The 20,165-nt window shown below is 40.9% G+C and overlaps 1 protein-coding gene across 59 annotated transcripts in view; it reads right to left on the bottom strand.

Annotated features, from left to right (window-relative positions):
- FGGY (FGGY carbohydrate kinase domain containing) overlaps positions 1-20,165 on the bottom strand; it is a 466,353-nt gene that overhangs the window by 143,184 nt on the left and 303,004 nt on the right. For all 59 annotated transcript variants that reach the window (XR_007061929.1, NR_103473.2, XR_007061930.1 and 56 more), the window contains one exon: positions 11,637-11,744. Coding sequence is in view for 56 of the 59 variants with exons in the window: in XM_011541731.2 (XP_011540033.1) it covers positions 11,637-11,744 (108 nt within the window). In the remaining 3 variants the exon portion in view is untranslated. The remainder of the gene's footprint in view (positions 1-11,636; positions 11,745-20,165) is intronic.

The following is a 20,165-nucleotide window of genomic DNA, read 5'->3' as shown; positions in this document are numbered from 1 at the left end:
GTTGTTCCCTTGACCTGGTATATTCTTCCCCCAGGTTTCAAAATAGCTAAATTCCTTCCTTTCCTCATTCTTTGTTCAACTGTCACATCAGTGAGGTCTACCCTGACCACCCTATTTAAAACTACAACCTTCCCATCTGAACTCACAAGCTACCTCCTCTATTTGTCTTAATAACTTATACCATAAAGTGGAATTTATTTATTTTTTGTGTATTATCTGTCTCCTCCTGTTAGAATGTAAGCTTGAGAAGGGTACAGGAGTCTTGGTGGAGTGCAGGAGAGTGCAGAAGAGGCTGTTTTACTCACTGCTACTTTCTCACTCAGAACAGTACCTCAAATATAGTAAGCACTCCGTAAATACTGGCTGTATAAATAAACATCACTCTAAAGAATTAAGACTTTATTCTAATGACAACTGAAGAGCTATCACAAGTGACAGACTCATAACTGTTTCAGAAAGACTTCTATACCTACAATGCAACAAAGGGATTAGAGGGGGAAAGATTACAGGCAAGAAGCCAATTAGGAAGTTGTGTAGCAATCCAGGTGGGTATACAAAAAATAAGCAAAAGCCAGGGCGGGAGAAGGGAACAGGGAGGCATTTGTTTTTGCAGAGTTAGTCCTTGTATCCATGAAGTAATTATAATTAGTGGATGTGAAATGCTGGGGACACACCTACATCTGTACATAGATCGTGTCAATGCTAATTGACCTTTGGCTATTGTCTCCCATGCCCCTGAGAGACTGAGGGTGTTAATTTTTTCAGTGTATATTCTCATTCATATTCTCTCTCTCTCTCTTTCTCTCTAAGTCTCCCAGTCTAAGTCTCATTCTCACTGAGGACACTTTTGTCATCTCCAGTCAGCTCTTAGGCCCATCTACTATATATGTATTTCAGATATTGTATTTAATTTATTGTATTTAATTATTTTTCTCCCATGGCCTTACAAAGCCTGCCAACTGTATTTGTTTCAAGACACTTAAAGAGAATGTCATGTTAACGGACAACAGTTGCTTCTCAAAGAAGTCTACAAGAGAACTGAAAGAAAAACTCAGAAATGCACCTCCACAAAAGTCAGATTCAGTTTTGGAAAGATCTTGGGCCTCTGGTGGCCAGCTTGGGTTTGCATTGTGGCTCTCCTACTTATAACTGTAAGATTTTGATCAGATTACCTTGACATTCTCAGCCTATTTCTTCATCAGTAAAACTAATATAACAACACTGACCACATACACATGCTGTGAAGATCAGATGAAATACCAAATCCTAATGGGCCTAAAAATATTTGGTACATAATAGGTACTCAGTATTAGCCTCTATTTTTCCAGTAGGCTATAGTGATTGTACTATCTATTTTTATGTCCTACAATAAATTATAATGATCAGTTCTGTATCCAACTTTCTTATTTGATGGTGGATGACTGGAGTGACCGTATTCTTGGCTGGCCCAGTGGAATCACTCAGGAAATCTCTGTAACGCGATGGAAGGAGTGAATGAATGAAGGCATGAAATCATTATCTCCATAATCTGTACTACACTGTGCACACTGCAAGTCATTCCATACACCCATTTATAGCAGAATGTCTTCCATAGGTGACATCCTGAGGCTAGTCCCAGCCTTGGCAATGACGCAGGAGGCAGATAGACACTCACAATGTACACATCCTAAAATCCCAAGAGCACATAGTAACTTGTTGCATTGTGACCTTGTGACTCAATCCAAGCACAATTGTTCCAGAAAGTCAATGCCACCATAGCAGTGGCTTAGGAACTTGTCTTAGCCTTCCTTACCCAATGCCATCCCCAATAAAAATCACTCCACGTGAGACAAACAAGAGCACCTGGAAAGGGTGATGGCCAAGGTCCAGCTGGAAATAAGCTTCAGTATCTGGATGTAGGAACTGCACGGGGTCAGTGTTCTGTGGACAAAGTCTGGGGAAAAAGCAATGCTTTTTTGCACAACTATTCAGAAGAGAATATCGGCAAGCATGAGACAGGCCTTGATGTGTGATGAAACTAAAATCAATCATCCTTAGGAAGGGAGTATGTGTTTTCTAAGAAGAAGTAAATATCAAAAGATCCTGTCCTGTTTCTTTTCCTTCATTCTGAGGATAACCAGATGAAGATTTTTTTTAAAAATACAAATCTATTCACATACTTAGAATGAAATAATTGCTTTGTAATGGAAGATCTGCATTTAATTGTAAAAATGAGACAAATATCTTTTTTTAAAATCCATGGTTTTTAATATATTTTTCATTTCTTTTCCTTCTCTTTTTTTCTATTGTTTCTTCTCCTTTACTTTCCTTTTTCTCTGTTTTCTCACTTCCCGTCTCTTATGCTTTAGGTGGTGTATTTATGACTGTGTGGCATCGTTGAAACCATGGACAATGTACTACTGGAGCAGACACCTTCAGATGTGGCTTATTAGAGAAGATGTGCATATGCAAGCGGGAATAAAAAAGATGCAACTTTTTCTTATCATGTCCTATGTGACAATGATGTATTTTAAAACCAGAGATTGGAATTTACAAGAGAATAAACAAGAATTAGTAAATGGTAAGGAAAGGTGAGTAGTAAATAAAACATATTAAAAGGCCATCACTGGTGGGTGAGGAGACTCTCCAGGCTGTAATTGCTACCTTTAGTCACTTAACTATAAAATACAGATAATGACTGTATCTATAGGTATGATCATAGGACTTTTGAGAATATTAATTAGATAATACATGAAAAGTTCTTGGAACTGAGATTGGAAACAAGCCTTCAAAATAATATTAGGCATTGTAATTATGACTATCATTCAAAGTTTAACAGAATTATGTCTATAAATCCCTCTCACAAAAAAATACTCAGTAAGCTACAATTATTACAATTAATATTACCATCATTATAATATTTTATTTATTTTTTTATTATACTTTAAGTTTTAGGGTACATGTGCACAACCTGCAGGTTTGTTACATATGTATACATGTGCCATATTGGTGTGCGGCACCCATTAACTCGTCATTTAATATTAGGTATATCTCCTAATGCTATCCCTCTCCACTCCCCTCACCCCACAGCAGGCCCTGGTGTATGATGTTCCCATTCCTGTGTCCATGTGTTCTCACTGTTCAATTCCCACCTATGAGTGAGAACATGCAGTGTCTGGTTTTTTGTCCTTGTGATAGTTTGCTGAGAATGATGGTTTCCAGCTTCATCCATGTCCCTACAAAGGACATGAACTCATTTTTATGGCTGCATAGTATTCCATGGTGTATATGTGCCACATTTTCTTAATCCAGTCTATCATTGTTGGATGTTTGGCTTGGTTCCAAGACTTTGCTATTGTGAATAGTGCCACAATAAACATACGTGTGCATGTGTCTAATAGCAGCATGATTTATAATCCTTTGGGTATATACCCAGTAATGGGATGGCTGGGTCAAATGGTATTTCTAGTTCTAGATCCCTGAGGAATCACCACACTGACTTCCACAATGGTTGAACTAGTTTACAGTCCCACCAACAGTGTAAAAGTGTTCCTATTTCTCCAGCACCTGTTGTTTCCTGACTTTTTAATGATTGCCATTCTAAGTGGTGTGAGATGGTATCTCACTGTGGTTTTGATTTGCATTTCTCTGATGGCCAGTGATGATGAGCATTTTTTCATGTGTCTTTTGGCTACATAAATGTCTTCATTTGAGAAGTGTCTGTTCATATCTTTCGCCCACTTGCTGATGGGGTTGTTTCTTTTATTCTTGTGAATTTGTTTGAGTTCATTGTAGATTCTGGATATTAGCCCTTTGTCAGATGAGTAGATTGCAAAAATTTTCTCCCATTCTGTAGGCTGCCTGTTCACTCTGATGGTAGTTTCTTTTGCTGGGCAGAAGCTCTTTAGTTTAATGAGATCTCATTTGTCAATTTTGGCTTTTGTTGCCGTTGCTTTTGATGTTTTAGTCATGAAGTCCTTGCCCATGCCTATGTCCTGAATGGTATTGCCTGGGTTTTCTTCTAGGGTTTTTATGGTTGTAGGTCTAACATTTAAGTCTTTAATCCATCTTGAATTAATTTTTGTATAGGGTGTAAGGAAGGGATCCAGTTTCAGCTTTCTCCATATGGCTAGCCAGTTTTCCCAGCACCATTTATTAAATAGGGAATCCTTTCCCCATTGCTTTTGTCAGATTTGTCAAAAATCAGATAGTTGTAGATATGTGGCATTATTTCTGAGGGCTCTGTTCTGTTTCATTGGTCTATATCTCTGTTATGATACCAGTACCATGCTGTTTTGGTTGCTGTAGCCTTGTAGTATAGTTTGAAGTCAGGTAGCGTGATGTCTCCAGCTTTGTTCTTTTGGCTTAGGATTGACTTGGCAATATGGGCTCTTTTTTGATTCCATATGAACTTTAAAGTAGTTTTTTCCAATTCTGTGAAGAAAGTCATCAGTAGCTTGATGGGGATGGCATTGAATCTATAAATTACCTTGGGCAGTGTGGCCATTTTCATGATATTGATTCTTCCTACCCATGAGCATGGAATGTTCTTCCATTTGTTTGTGTCCTCTTTTATTTCATTGAGCAGTGGTTTGTAGTTCTCCTTGAAGAGGTCATTCACATCCCTTGTAAGTTGGATTCCTAGGTATTTTATTCTCTTTGAAGCAATTGTGAATGGGAGTTCACTCATGATTTGGCTCTCTCTTTGTCTGTTATTGGTGTATAAGAATGCTTGTGATTTTTGCACATTGATTTTGTATCCGGGGAGTTTGCTGAAGTTGCTTATCAGCTTAAGGAGATTTTGGGCTGAGATGATGGGGTTTTCTAGATATACAATCATGTCATCTACAAACAGGAAAAATTTGACTTCCTCTTTTCCTAATTGAATACCCTTTATTTCCTTCTCCTGCCTGATTGCCCTGACCAGAACTTCCAACACTATGTTGAATAGCAGTGGTGAGAGAGGGCATCCCTGTCTTGTGACAGTTTTCAAAGGGAATGCTTCCAGTTTTTGCCCATTCAGTATGATATTGGCTGTGGGTTTGTCATAGATAGCTCTTACTATTTTGAGACATGTCCCATAAATACCTAATTTATTGAGAGTTTTTAGCATGAGGGGTTGTTGAATTTTGTCAAAGGCCTTTTCTGCATCTATTGAGATAATCATGTGGTTTTTGTCGTTGGTTCTGTTTATATGCAGGATTACGTTTATTGATTTGCATATGTTGAACCAGTCTTGCATCCCAGGGATGAAGCCCACTTGATCATGGTGGATAAGCTTTTTGATGTGCTGCTGGATTCAGTTTGCCAATATTTTATTGAGGATTTTTGCATCGATGTTCATCAGGGATATTGGTCTAAAATTCTCTTTTTTAGTTGTGTCTCTGCCAGGCTTTGGTATCAGGATGATGCTGGCCTCATAAAATGAGTTAGGGAGGATTCCCTCTTTTCCTATTGATTGGAATAGTTTCAGAAGGAGTGGTACCAGTTCCTCCTTGTACCTCTGGTAGAATTCGGCTGTGAATCCGTCTGGTCCTGTACTTTTTTTGGTTGGTAAGATATTAATTATTGCCTCAATTTCAGAGCCTGTTATTGGTCTATTCAGAGATTCAACTTCTTCCTGGTTTAGTCTTGGGAGGGTATATGTGTCCAGGAATTTATCCATTTCTTCTAGATTTTCTAGTTTATTTGCATAGAGGTGTTTATAGTATTCTCTGATGGTAGTTTGTATTTCTATGGGATCGGTGGTGATATCCCCTTTATCATTTTTTATTGTGTCTATTTGATTCTTCTCTCTTTTCTTCTTCATTAGTCTTGCTAGCGTTCTATCAATTTTGTTGATCTTTTCAAAAAACCAGCTTCTGGATGCATCGATTTTTTGAAGGGTTTTTTGTGTCTCTATTTCCTTCAGTTCTGCTCTGATTTTAGTTATTTCTTGCCTTCTGCTAGCTTTTGAATGTGTTTGCTTTTGCTTCTCTAGTTCTTTTAATTGTGATGTTAGGGTGTCAATTTTACACCTTTCCTGCTTTCTCTTGTGGGCATTTAGTGCTATAAATTTCCCTCTACACACTACTTTGAAGGTGTCCCAGAGATTCTGGTATGTTGTGTCTTTGTTCTCATTGGTTTCAAAGAACATCCTTATTTCTGCCTCCATTTTGTTATGTACCCAGTAGTCATTCAGGAGCAGGTTGTTCAGTTTCCATGTAGTTGAGTGGTTTTGAGTGAGTTTCTGAAACCTGAATTCTACTTTGATTGCACTGTGGTCTGAGAGACAGTTTGTTATAATTTCTGTCCTTTACATTTGCTGAGGACGTCTTTACTTCCAACTATGTGGTCAATTTTGGAATAGGTGTGGTGTGTTGCTGAGAAGAATGTATATTCTGTTGATTTGGGGTGGAGAGTTCTGTAGATGTCTATTAGGTCCACTTGGTGCAGAGCTGAGTTCTATTCCTGGATATCCTTGTTAACGTTCTGTCTCGTTGATCTGTCTAATGTTGTCAGTGGGGTGGTTTAAGTCTCCCATTATTATTGTGTGGGAGTCTAAGTCTCTTTGTAGTTCTCTAAGGACTTGCTTTATGAATCTGGGTGCTCCTGTATTGGGTACATATATATTTAGGATGGTTAGCTCTTCTTGTTGAATTGATCCCTTTACCATTATGTAATGGCCTTCTTTGTCTCTTTTGATCTTTGTTGGTTTAAAGTCTGTTTTATCAGAGACTAGGATTGCAACCCCTGCCTTTTTTTGTTTTCCATTTGCTTGGTAGATCTTCCTCCATCCCTTTATTTTGAGACTATGTGTGTCTCCGCACGTGAGATGGGTTTCCTGAATACAGCACATGGATGGGTCTTGACACTTTATCCAATTTGCCAGTCTGTGTCTTTCAATTGGAGCATTTAGCCCATTTACATATAAGGTTAATATTGCTATGTGTGAATTTGATCCTGTCATTATGACGTTAGCTGGTTATTTTGCCTGTTAGTTGATGCAGTTTCTTCCCAGCCTTGATGGTCTTTACAATTTGGCATGTTTTTGCAGTGGCTGGTACCAGTTGTTCCTTTCCATGTTTAGTGCTTCCGTCAGGAGCTCTTTTAGGGCAGGCCTGGTGGTGACAAAATCTCTCAGTATTTGCTTGTCTGTAAAGTATTTCATTTCTCCTTCACTTATGAAGCTTAGTTTGGCTGGATATGAAATTCTGGGTTGAAAATTCTTTTCTTTAAGAATGTTGAATATTGGCCCCCACTCTCTTCTGGCTTGTAGAGTTTCTGCCGAGAGATCAGCTGTTAGTCTGATGGGCTTCCTTTTGTGGGTAACCCAACCTTTCTCTCTGGCTGCCCTTAACATTTTTTCCTTCATTTCAACTTTGGTGAATCTGACAATTATGTGTCTTGGAGTTGCTCTTCTCGAGGAGTATCTTTGTGGCATTCTCTGTATTTCCTGAATCTGAATGTTGGTCTGCCTAGCTAGGTTGGGGAAGTTCTGGATAATATCCTGCAGAGTGTTTTCCCAGTTGGTTCCATTCTCCCCGTCACTTTCAGGTACACTAATCAGACGTAGATTTGGTCTTTTCACATAGTCCCATATTTCTTGGAGGCTTTGTTCGTCTCTTTTTATTCTTTTTTCTCTAAACTTCTCTTGTAGCTTCATTTCATTCATTTGATCTTCCATCACTGATACCTTTTCTTCCAGTTGATCAAATCGGCTACTGAGGCTTGTGCATTTGTCACATAGTTCTCGTGCCATGGTTTTCAGCTCCATCAGGTCCTTTAAGGACTTATCTGCAGTGGTTATTCTAGTTAGACATTCATCTAATCTTTTTTCAAGGTTTTTAACTTCTTTGCCATGGGTTCGAACTTCCTCCTTTAGCTCGGAGCAGTTTGATCGTCTGAAGCCTTCTTCTCTCAACTCGTCAAAGTCATACTCCGTCCAGCTTTGTTCCGTTGCTGGTGAGGAGCTGCGTTCCTTTGGAGGAGGAGAGGCACTCTGATTTTTAGAATTTTCAGTTTTTCTGCTCTGTTTTTTCCCCATCTTTGTGGTTTTATCTACCTTTGGTCTTTGATGATGGTGACGTACAGATTGGGTTTTGGTGTGGATGTCCTTTCTGTTTGTTAGTTTTCCTTCTAACAGTCAGGACCCTCAGCTGCAGGTCTGTTGGAGATTGCTGGCGTTTCACTCTAGACCCTGAGTATCACCAGTGGAGGCTGCAGAACAGCAAATATTGCAGAAATGTTGCTGCCTGATCCTTCCTCTGTAAGCTTTGTTTCAGAGGGGTACCTGGTTGTATGAGGTGTCAGTCGGCCCCTACTGGGAGGTGTCTCCCAGTTAGGCTACTGAGGGGGTCAGGGTCCCACTTGAGGAGGCAGTCTGTCCATTCTCAGATCTCAATCCCTGTGCTGGGAGAACCACTTCTCTCTTCAAAGCTGTCAGACAGGGACGTTTAAGTGTACAGAAGTTTCTGCTGCCTTTTGTTCAGCTATGCCCCGCCCTCAGAGGTGGAGTCTACAGAGGCAGGCAGGTCTCCTTGAGCTGAGGTGGGCTCCACCCAGTTAGAGCTTCCAGGCCACTTTGTTTACCTACTCAAGCCTCAGCAATGGTGGGCACCCCTACCCCAGCCTCACTGCTGCCTTGCAGTTGGATCTGAGACTGCTGTGCTGGCAGTGAGCAAGGCTCTGTGGGCGTGGGACCCTCTGAGCCAGGCGCAGGATATAATCTCCTGGTGTGCCGTTTGCTAAGACCATTGTAAAAGCGCAGTAGCCGTGTGGGAGTGACCCAATTTTCCAGGTGCCATCTGTCATGGCTTTCCTTGGCTAGGAAAGGGAATTCCTGGACCCCTTGTGCTTCCCGGGTGAGGCGATGCCTCGCCCTGCTTCGGCTCACGGTCTGTGGGCTGCACCCACTGTCCTGCACCCACTGTCTGACAAGCCCCAGTGAGATGAACCCAGTATCTCAGCTGGAAATGCAGAAATCACTGGTCGTCTGCATCGCTCATGCTGGGAGCTGTAGACTGGAGCTGTTCCTATTCGGCCATCTTGGAACTCTGTAGCTCTATTTACAATAGCAAAGACATGGAACCGACCCAAATGCCCATCAGTGATAGACTGGATTAAGAAATTGTGGCACATATACACCATGGAATACTATGCCTTCATAAAAAGGCATGAGATCTCTTTGCAGGGACATGGATGAAGCTGGAAGCCATCATCCTCAGCAAACTAACACAGGAACAGAAAACCAAACACTGCATGTTCTCACTCATAAGCAGGAGTTGAAGAATGAGAACACATGAACACAGAGAGGGGGACAACACATACTGGGGCCAGTTGGGGAGTTAGGGGCAAGGGGAGGGAGAGCATTAGGACACATTGCTAATGCATGGAAGGCTTAAAACATAGATGATGGGTTGACAGGTGCAGGAAACCACCATGGCACACATATTCCTATGTAACAAACCTGCAGGTTCTGCACTTGTATCCCGGAACTGAAAGTAAAATAAAATAAGTTGACTAAGTACATAGCACAAGTTTAAATAGGAGAATATAAAGTGGGCTGCATTTCTACTGTACTGTAGCCATAGATGATGTCTTCCTTCTCAACTTTTCTAGCACTGGTTACTGAGACCAATCAAACATGATTTATTTCATACTCAGGGATTCCCCATCCAAGTATGAGCTCCTTAAAACCAGGGACTGATGAGGTCCAATTCATTTAATTCATTTCTGTAGCCTGGCACAACAGTAACGTACAGAACATGCCCTTTGAATCCATCTACCCACCTATGCTTCCATTTACTTTGAAAGAGAATTTGAGGCAGTCATGTATAAAATAGGATTATACTAAGAAATGTAAACTCACAGATATTTGCATATACATCCAGCTTTGAATAAGATCATTTCCAATTGGCTGAACATTTAGAAGAGTTGGTAGGCAAATCACATCATAACATAAGCAGATATTTCCAATTTAACAGTAAATGTGAGTGTGTGTAACTGAGCCTAGGTCTCACTTTCTCTGTATTCCACATTTGATCTCTCAGAAGCCTGCCAATCTCTTGACCTCAATTCCCAGTCATCATTATTACTGTCCTCATTCAAGTCCTTGTGGCTTTTTGTCTGTTGACTAACCTACTAAAACTAGTCTCCCTGCCTCTGGCCATGTGTCCTCAGGCCTTTACCCTCATGGCTTCTAAGCAGAGATTTTTACAACTGAGTTATGAACATGTCCACATACTCTTCTAACCTTTCACTGGTTCCTCTTGGTCTGCTAGACGAAGTTCAATTCCTTAGCATGTTTTACAGGGATGTGGTCTCTGCCCTACTCTCTAACTTTTATCGTAAGCCATTTTTCTAAGAATAGTTTGTGCCACAGCTGAACTTCTGGACTATTTGCCATTACCCTCAAATTAGCCGTTATTTTTCACTTCCATGTCTTTTTTCCCATACAAGTTTCCTACCAAGTAGACTATCTGTACCCTTCTTTACCTGGTTTGTCCTTATTTATCTTTTAAGGCTCAGCACCAATGCCTTCTCCCCTGTAAAGAGTTTCCTAACCTAGCTTTGTGCCAACTCTGTACCGTGTACTTCTGTTACAGCACTCATCTCACTTTTATGAATCTTCTCTCTCCCCTATTGGACAGCCTTAATAATTCAACAAGTTTGTATTAAGTACCTTCTATGAACCTGGCACTGAGGTGGATACAAAGAGAACTTGTCTTTATTTTGTGGGGTTTTTTTTTAAGACGGAGTTTCGCTCTTGTCGCCCAGGCTGAAGTGCAGTGTTGCATTCTCAGTTCACTGTAATCTGTGCCTCCCAGATTCAAGTGATTCTCCTGTCTTAGGAGAGTATCTGAGTAGCTGAGATTACAGGCGCCTGCCATCGAGCCCAGCTAATTTTTGTATTTTTAGTAGAGATGAGGTTTCACCATGTTGGTCAGGCTGTCCTTGAGCTTCAGACCTCAGGTGGTCTGCCCGCCCCAGCCTCACAAAGTGCTGGTATTATAGGCATGAGCCACTGTGTACCGCATGGCCCTTGTCTTTAAGGAACTCAGAGTGTTCTAGAAAAGGGGATTAGTAACCAATAAGAATAACAGAGTGTGCTAAGAGCTGGAGTTGGATCTTAAAGGACAAGTAAAATTATTGAGGTGGTAAAGAACTCCCCAAGCAGGGAAAGAAGCCTGTATAAAGGGACAGAGAAGTGCAATGACAGGAGGCATGGAGAAGCTGTGAGGAGAGCAACCTAGTGTAAATTACAGGCACATGTGTGGGACTGGAGGGGATAGACCATGAAGTGTATAATGCAGCCAGAATATTATCTGAGCCATGTCTCAAGGGGCTATGGGGAAAACTGAAGGATTTGGGCTGGGGAGTAACATGTCGTTTTCTCTAAGTAGAATATCATTCTCATCACTCTGAGAAAAATGGATTGATGTAAGGAAAGATCAGGTGAGAAGAAGGGCTGGTCATCACTGCCTGCTGTAACACTTCTTCCTTAAGCAATATATGCTGCATGTGTATGACATGTTAGGCTGTGCACTAAGAGAAAGTACACCCCGATTCAGGGGTCTGCAAATCCTCCAGATATTGGGTATATGGGTCATGTGACAAAATGGACTAATCAATGACATAAAAACATCCATGACCCTATTGAGAAAGTGTCAACTTACCAATTTTCCAGTAACGCTCTGACCACCTTCATTCAGCCAGAACCCAGGTACCATGGCTGAGAAATAAGGCCCCCAGACGCCTGGTACAAAAATCGGGTCTTTGCTGATCTGGAAAGAAAGATGGAAAATATGTGAAAACATTGACTCTCAGGGGTAGGGGAAGGGTTCTCCTCCTAATATTTCTATGACCATGGAATTCAGCTTCTTATTGAATGCCTTTTATGGTGGGGAAGTCACTCTCTCCCAAGAAAGGCCATGGCTCCTTTTTTTAGAAACTTTCCTGATAAATTCATTTAAATGTTAAGGTAATAAAAATGGTCATTTTGGAAAGAAACTGATAAGGTGTTTCCCTGTTGGCTCCCTCACTATGGCAGAGATTGCAAAGGTGGTCCCCATTCTCCACCCTTCCTGTGTCAACACTCTTTGCAATGAGACTTTGCAGCTCCTCACATTGAGATGTGGGTCTATCTCCCTACCCCTTCAATCTATGCCAGTCTTGTGACTTGTTTTGCCAAGAGAATGAGGCAGATGTGACACTGGGTCAGTTTTCCAAGCCTAGGTCTCAAAAGGGCTGTGTGCTTCTGTTCTGTCTTTCGCTCCTCAAACTTGGCCACAAGACCATGCCCTACAAGGCTGCTGGGTGACAGGAGATGTGCAACAGAGCTGAGTCTGTTCAGTTGTCTCAGGTGATGTCCCACATATATGAAAGAACCCAGGTAACATCAGCAAATATTTGTAGGTGACCAGCATTGACTAGCCCAGATCATCAGACTCACCTAGCCAACCAACAAACTTGTGAGCAAAAATAAATGTCTACTGTTGTTTGTCACTAAGGTTTTCTATTTGTCTGTAACTTAGCATTTGGGGGACTATAATAACTGATAGATTTCTTTCCTTTTACAAATATGTACTGCTACCTAATAGCAATCCTGTCCCCCTATTGGGTGCTGGGGACACAAAGATGAATCAGAGTTCTTACTTTCAAGAAGCTCCCATCTAGTGGAGGAGCTATACAAAAAAATAGACAAATAGAATATAGTGTGGTTCATGAGATGGTAAAGACAAAATACAAAATATTGTGGATGGGCACAGGAGGTGAGGAATGTACTAAAGATTATACAAAGATAGAGGCCGCCATTTAGATATATACCCCAAGGCCAACTGCCCAGAGTCAAGTGGTAAAACTTAAGTCATTCTGATTTCCCTGAGTTGCTAGCTCTCATTATAAACAAAGCATAAAACATAAGCTTTATCTCCCTGTCAGCATGATTTGATGAAATTAAAACATAAGCTTTAGGTCCTTGTCAGCATGATTCAGGAAAATTAAATCAATCAACTATAGACAAATCAGTTTAAACAGTCCTGTTTCCCCTGAAAAAAAAATGTTAATACATAACAGCCAATGACTAAAAAGGTCAAAATACTTTCTCCTTAATGCTTCATAAACTGCACTGTAACTGCCGTAAGGTGAGCTTCTTACCACTTGAAGTCTTGCTGATGGCAATTGGTACTTTTTGTAAGATAGAAAACTTTCAAATTTTTCCCTAACTTGTTCTCATTTTACTTTTGACAAGTGGAAGGGTACAGAGGTGGCTTCTTAGAGAAAGGGACATAAGCTAAGTTTGAAAAGACTAGTAGGATTTTGCTAAAGTGAAACAGGTGTTCCAAGTAGAGGGAGGAGCTTGAACAAAGCCATGTGGGTAAGAGAGGTGCTCTCAGTAATCAAGATAGTGCCATTTTTTTAAAATTTTTTATTTTATTATTATTATTATTTTTTAACAGACCATAGCAGTCCCTTCAACAGTAAGGAAAGCATTTAAAGAGATGAACTAGAACGGGTGGGGATAGACCATGTGTTCATTCATCTGCAGTGGTACATGTTTCTCATCTATTCAGCAGTAAGGAATGCTGAAGTCACATTTATGGTCACAGAAATGTTTAGCTAGAGGGTAGGGAAGAAAAGGGAGTTAGGCATACAAGTTGTATTCCAGCAGGTCTTGAGGCTGGGCAGAAAATCTATTCATTTATATATTTCACAAATATTTACTCAGCCCTTACTATGTGCTTGGTAATGTGCTAGGCCCAGAGGATACAGAAGTGATTACTAGCATTTTAGCATGGGGACAGACCTTATTTGTCTTGACCTCAGCTACCCCGGTTCTCTCTTTACTAAACAAGTGATTCCTCAAATCAGTAGGATTTCCAACCACAAAATGGGAAGGGGGGGAAGGAAGGCAAAAAACAAAAACAGCATAACATTGTGAACTTTAAATTTTGTCAAATAAGGACAGTTTTTCAAAAGGGATATTTTAACATCAAAATAGAATAATTTCAGGGAGAAAAAAGATAGGCTTTCATAAGAAAAGTAAGTTCAGCTTAGATTAACATATACATTTACTTCTTTACTGGTTAACAGATGTTTCCTGAGTTCCCAGTCCAGGTCTGTGCCAGGCACAGAGATAAATGGTGAACAAGAGCATAGTGCCTGTACTCAAAGAGCATCCGATCTTGAGAGGGAAGCAGACCAGAGTGAACAATTACGCAGGTTTGGCCAGGACTTTCCCAGTTTCAGCGCTGAAAGTCTTGCCTTCTGGAAAACCCCTCAGTTTCAGCCAAACTGGGGCAACTGGCTACCTTAAGAAAAATATTAATCAGATCATTACACAAATATGTAATTACCAACTGTGAGAAGTAAATGAGGGAAAGCCAAAAGGTAGTAAGAGAGCACACAAGGGAGGTACCTAATTCAGTCTAGGTGACAGGGAATGCTTCTCCAAGGAAATGGTACATGAATTAAGATTTAAAACATGCATGGAAATTATTCAGGTGGGTGAGTGTGAGTGTTGTGTGTATGAGAGAGAAAGAATGCACGAGTGAGCTATGGTGAATGTTCCAGCCACAAGGAGAGCATACTAACTGGTACTTATTTTCACCACTCTGCCTTTCTTTGCCCAGTGAAAATTTTATCACGTGCCAATTCTAGAAATTGCTTTCCTAAGTCCCAGAGCTTCTTTGAGATGAATGAGGCAGTCCATATTCATTACCACTTAGGACCCAGGGTTTGCACAGGTAGAGCCAAAGCCAAGTCATCTCTTTCTGTGTCTTGCAGCCCCTTGCCTCCAGAACTCTTGGCCCCATTTGACAGATTAGTCCCCAAGAGGTTGTGTAAGTTGTCTATGGTTAGTACATGGATGACCACGATGGGATTTCAACTGAGGCAGATGTTGACCTCAAACTCTATGATAATGCTCTTTACTTGTATGCATAAATTGCTTAGGAAGGATACACTTCACCTCCCTTCTCCCCATCCCCTGTCCCACAATTTGGGGATGTTACTGCATCAGCTGCAGCAAGACTTCATTAGAAGATTGTGGCTTTGCTGCTTTGCTGCTCAGAAATGTCAGAGAATGGTTTTGCTTGGCTCTGTCCAGGGAGAAAGTTTTGAGTTGACCTCTGTTTGTGCCCACTCATCTGGAATAGCACATGCTTCTCCTCAGACATCCTGTGTAAAGCAAGGAAACAAAGAGTACTTCTAGTCACTCTCAAACCCTGTGTTCTTAGAAGAATCTAGGAATTCCTAGTTTGTTTTGAGAGAGAGAGAAAGAATGTACACTTGTGTACTTATGTGTTGTTTAATCTTTTGCAACAAACCTAAATATTTAAAAATCTTTTTGTGAAAGCCCCTTCCATGCTGATGGCTGTCTTGGCCTGGAGACTGCTCCATGACCCTAAAGAAGGGGAGCTCATCATACTACATTGATGACAGGTGTCCATGCAGGACACTGACTTCCCAGTAATAACGGCACTGTTGGCAACAACAACAATAGTTGAGACTTACTGTGTACTTAGTAAAGGCCTGATTCTAAGCATATTACAGGTATTAAATCACTTAAAAATTCTGTTATTATTCCTATTGTACAGATATGTAGACTGAGGCAGAGAGTTAAATAACATGCCCAGTGTTACAAAAACTGAAAGCAGTCAGGCATCAGGTTCTATATTTGTCTCTGCCAAATTATAGTCTTAATTTTAGGCTACCATTACTTCTTTGAGTCTTTCATCTGTTTTGAAGAGCAGAAAGCAAGGGCCATTAGAGCCAACACAGACTTACTCAAACTGAACATAACCTTCTGGCCTTGATGACAAGTAGGTTAGGGAATCTTCATTTCTAAAAAGTTTCCATTAAGTGTTCCCTGATATACCAGTGAACAACAGAAGAGAAACTATGGGTCGGGACAAAGGCCCATCGTGATTCTAGTCCTGACTCTGCCCAATTCTCAGCTAGGCGATCTTACGTAAGGTAGCCTTTCTGAGCCTCAGTTTCCTCAACTCCAAAATGGGAGGAATGCATGAATGCTGGGGGACTTTTGTAAAGATTAAGTAAGCTGTCACATATCAATGGTTTATTATATGTTAAACACCAAATAAACGTTAGCTCTCCTTGAAATGAGGCTTGTATGATGGAATAGTCAGGTGACTGGCTGAACAACCACAGGCAATAGTAATCACAACCATGTAAAGGGGTCTCTAGATTTGTCCTTGGTCTTGGTTTAATCAATATGCTTAATAATGGAGTAGAAGATGATACAGAAGAAAAGCTTATATTTTCAGATGCTAACACTTGGAAAAATAGCTTATTATGGGACATGTTCAAATCAAGATTCAAAATTACCTCAAAGAGCTAAAACACTAAGCAAAATTAAGAAAACAAGTAACATTTATTTACTCACACAGTTAAAAACTTACACTTAAAAGGTATTGGCAATATTCTCTTTCACAGGTTTGGTGGTGGGAATACTGGTGTTCATTTTGGTATTTTGTTTAAACTGTACTTAGACATCTGGTGTACTCTTTGTGTCTGATATAAATATCATTATAAAAACTTCAAAAACAGTAATAAAAACTTTGGTTGCATACTGTATGTCAGACACTGAGCTCAATAAAGCTATAACAATAAGGCAAAATATTACTATTACTATTACTACTACTACTAATGAAGTGGCATGGTCGCTTACCTCAGGGAGTTCCTAATCTGACAGGGCAGCCAGGTAGAAATAAAAAAATAACAACAAAACATGGCAAGTGCTACAAAAAGGTAAGAGAGGAGTGCAGTACGAGCCCAAAGGAAGGAATAACTCACTGCCTGGGAAAAGAGTGAGCATTTCACAGAGATGGCCACCTTGAAGCAAGGCTTTGAACGAGGAGGACATACTTGCTTGGGCAGAGAGGAAGGGCAGCCCGGGCAGAAACAGTCATGTAGACAAGGCTCAGAGTCATGAAGCTGTAAACACATTTTGATTTCAGGGGGCCCCATATAAAGTTCTGCATTTTACTTTAAATAAAAGATCGCATGGTTTGAAGGATGGGTATAGTTTTGCATCAACAGATCCTACTGATTCTCAAAAATCCAATTTTAAAACAATTATGGTTGGGGAAAAAACCCACTGAAATGAGCCTTTAAATCAGTTAACAATTATAATAATAAATCATATAGAAATAATAAAATAGTCATTGCTAAGAGTTATTTGCATTTATCATATGCTACAGACTCTTCTAGGTTCTTCACATATATTATCACATTTAACACTCATGACAACCCAATGAGAGAGGTCCTATTATTATATTTACTTCACAGATGAGGAAATAGAAGCTGCAGGAGGTCAAATAGCTAGTAAATAGAAGAGGAGGGCTTTCAGGATCCAAATTATGAACCACCAACTTATTTCTCTCTCTATAACTAACTCTCCTTAGCTATAAAATCAATTGATTGGACTAGAAATATTTAATATCTCTTTTGTCTTTGAGGTTTTCTAAGATTTCATGAAGCTGAGTTGTTCTAGCCCAGCTGGTCAATCAGAACTCTTCAGCTAGCTATTTCAACACAGACTCTGCCCTCACATGGCCTGGGCTTCATGGGATTGTCTTGGGCTAACTCCTGGGGCTTCTTGAAGTACTTACTTTGCTCTGTTGGTAGTACCCCTAGTACTTGCTTTGCTCCATAACCTGTGGCCAAGATTATTGTGGGTTTTTCTGTCAACTTCATGAGTTGTATTTAATGGCTACTATCTAAAACATCTTACATTAGCTGATTAAGTATTCAGTAAATATTATTGGATACACACTGATTTCAAACTACTGTTTTAAACATGAAAAGATATAGAAAGACAGACATCAGAGCCAATAAGTGATGTAGTCTCCGTCCTCCCGAAGTTTATAATCTAGGGGGACTTGGAATTCAGTATGGGCTGGGGCATAACTCAGATATCAAGTGACTTGTAGGTGTACATTTGCATTCAGACTTAGAGTTACCCTGACAGTCTATAGAGTCAAACACAGTCAGCCCATATTATAGCTGAAGACACAGGCATGAAGAGGGTAAGCAAATTGCCCAGGATCATAAAGATCAGAAATGATGGAGCTGGGATTAGAAGCCTCTTTCCATGTGCTCCTGCCTCTCTTTTTGTCTATGCTCAAGCTGGCTCCATGAGTGCATGCCATTGGCTTAGTTTCATCTAAGGCAATGTGCCCGTCAGCCGAGTTTCCCTGTGGTGACAAAGCCCAGAAGCCTGCTCACACCTCTTCTGGGAGAGATGACTGGGCTCAGAGTGGGGAGCTGCTCCAGCTCCGTTTGTTCTGCCTCCCTGCAACGCCATCACTCCGAGGCTGGCCTAAGCCTCTGGCAGGGGCAAAAGGCAGGCTCCAGGCGCCAGTCGTCCTGGGAGGGAACAGGAGGTTTTGTTTTGAGTGCCTCCGGCCAGGTTGGGAATTTTAGAGGGTAGCCACAGGCATGTGTGGGACCGGGTATTTCCATGGTGGCTCATCTCACCCTCCAAATGGACGGTGCTATCGTCTTACTAGAGAAAAACCATTTATACACAATCCAGCCAACTCCTAGATCACCACATGGTACAAAAAAAAAAAAAAAAAAGCATAGAGAATTTTGTTTATGAATGGGGGCTCTCAGCATTCACCTTTATTTCTACATTTCTCAGATTGAATTGTAAATAGCTGTTAATGTCTGCCTCTCCCAGGAAATAGTGAGGAGCCATATCTTATCTTAAAGGCAGAAACATGGTTTAGTAACATGAGCACAGACTTAGGAGTCTGACAAACTTGGATATTTCTGGTTAGGTCATTTGCTGACCTGAGACTCAGTTTCCTTATCTGTCGATGGGGATCATCTCATTAACCACAGAGCTGTGTCTAAGTCCTAGATGGGGTAATGTGTATAAAGATCCTAGGACACAGTATGCTCTCAAGGCATGTTAAGCCACAGATGGCTTAATTCTGCAACTTTCTGGGACGGTGGAAAAGTTTGGTGTCCAAAGAGCTGGGTGCAGGTCCAGCCTCTACTCATTATTAGCTTCGTCTCTTTGGTAGGCTCTTCTTTCTCTTCCCTCCTGGATTCTCTCCTATGTTCATCTCACTGCCTACATCTCTTAGGGTCAGCTCATCCAGTCCTATGTGTGCAATGACAATTTTTATCCCACACTCAGGCCTTGCTCCTGAGCTCCACATGGAACCTTTGACCTGGATGGCTAATCGACATGTCTTGTTCTGTAGCTCTGGGATGAAGGATGGCACGTTATATTTTTGACATGTCAGAAGTATCTCTGTCTCAGGATACCATTCTTGACTTCCTGATCATTCATCGCTCTCATCTGCCCCACAGTAGGTCACGGTGCTCTGTCAAATATTTTTCAAACACAAGTCTTCCTGTTTCCAACTATTGCCACTACGTTAGTCCAGCCCTTCATCATTTCTTGCTTGGATTATTACAAGGGTGATGAAACTGGATTAAACTCGTTTCCCTGACCCAAATAGTGTCCTCCATCCTGTACTCTCTTAAGCGTCACTCAGAGAATCTTTCATACCTCCACCACAATGATCTTTCTAATACACAAATTTAATTCTATCATTCTCCTTACTAAAGTCCTTGAGCAGCTTGCCACGACATATGGGACTGTCTGATGTAGCTTTTACCTTTTTGTCTCCTGAAATCCCCTATGTTATCATTTCCCAATCCTCTGCCCCCATCATTTTTATTGCACCAAGCCCATCATAAGCTAGGCCTCAGACTTAAGTGAACCTGAAATTCCCCTTGTGCCATTTTCTTTCTCAACTCTTAGTGTTCATAAATTCTTGTCTCACTGATTAGAGGGCACTCCCTCTCGCTTTCCCCTAGCTAACTTATACATATTCCTTTTTTTTTTTTTTTTTTTTTGAGTCTTGCTCTGTCCCCCAGCTGAAGTGAAGTGGCAAAATCTCGGCTCACTGCAACCTCTGCCTCCTGGGTTCAAGTGATTCTCCTGCCTCAGCCTCCCAAGTAGCTGGGATTACAGGCACATGCCACCACGCCCAGCTAATGTTTATATTTTTAGTAGAGATGGGTTTCACCAGTGTTGGCCAGGTGGTCTTGAACTCCTGACCTCAAGTGATCCGCCCGTCTCGGCCTCCCAAAGTGCTGGGATTACAGGCATGAGCCACTGCACCCAGCCACTTACTTATTCATATTCTTTTAAGAACATG

Source organism: Homo sapiens, chromosome 1 (genome assembly GCF_000001405.40).
Source record: "Homo sapiens chromosome 1, GRCh38.p14 Primary Assembly".
In the NCBI taxonomy this organism is placed as follows: Eukaryota; Metazoa; Chordata; class Mammalia; order Primates; family Hominidae; genus Homo; species Homo sapiens.
This window is presented reverse-complemented; position numbering and strand designations above follow the sequence as displayed.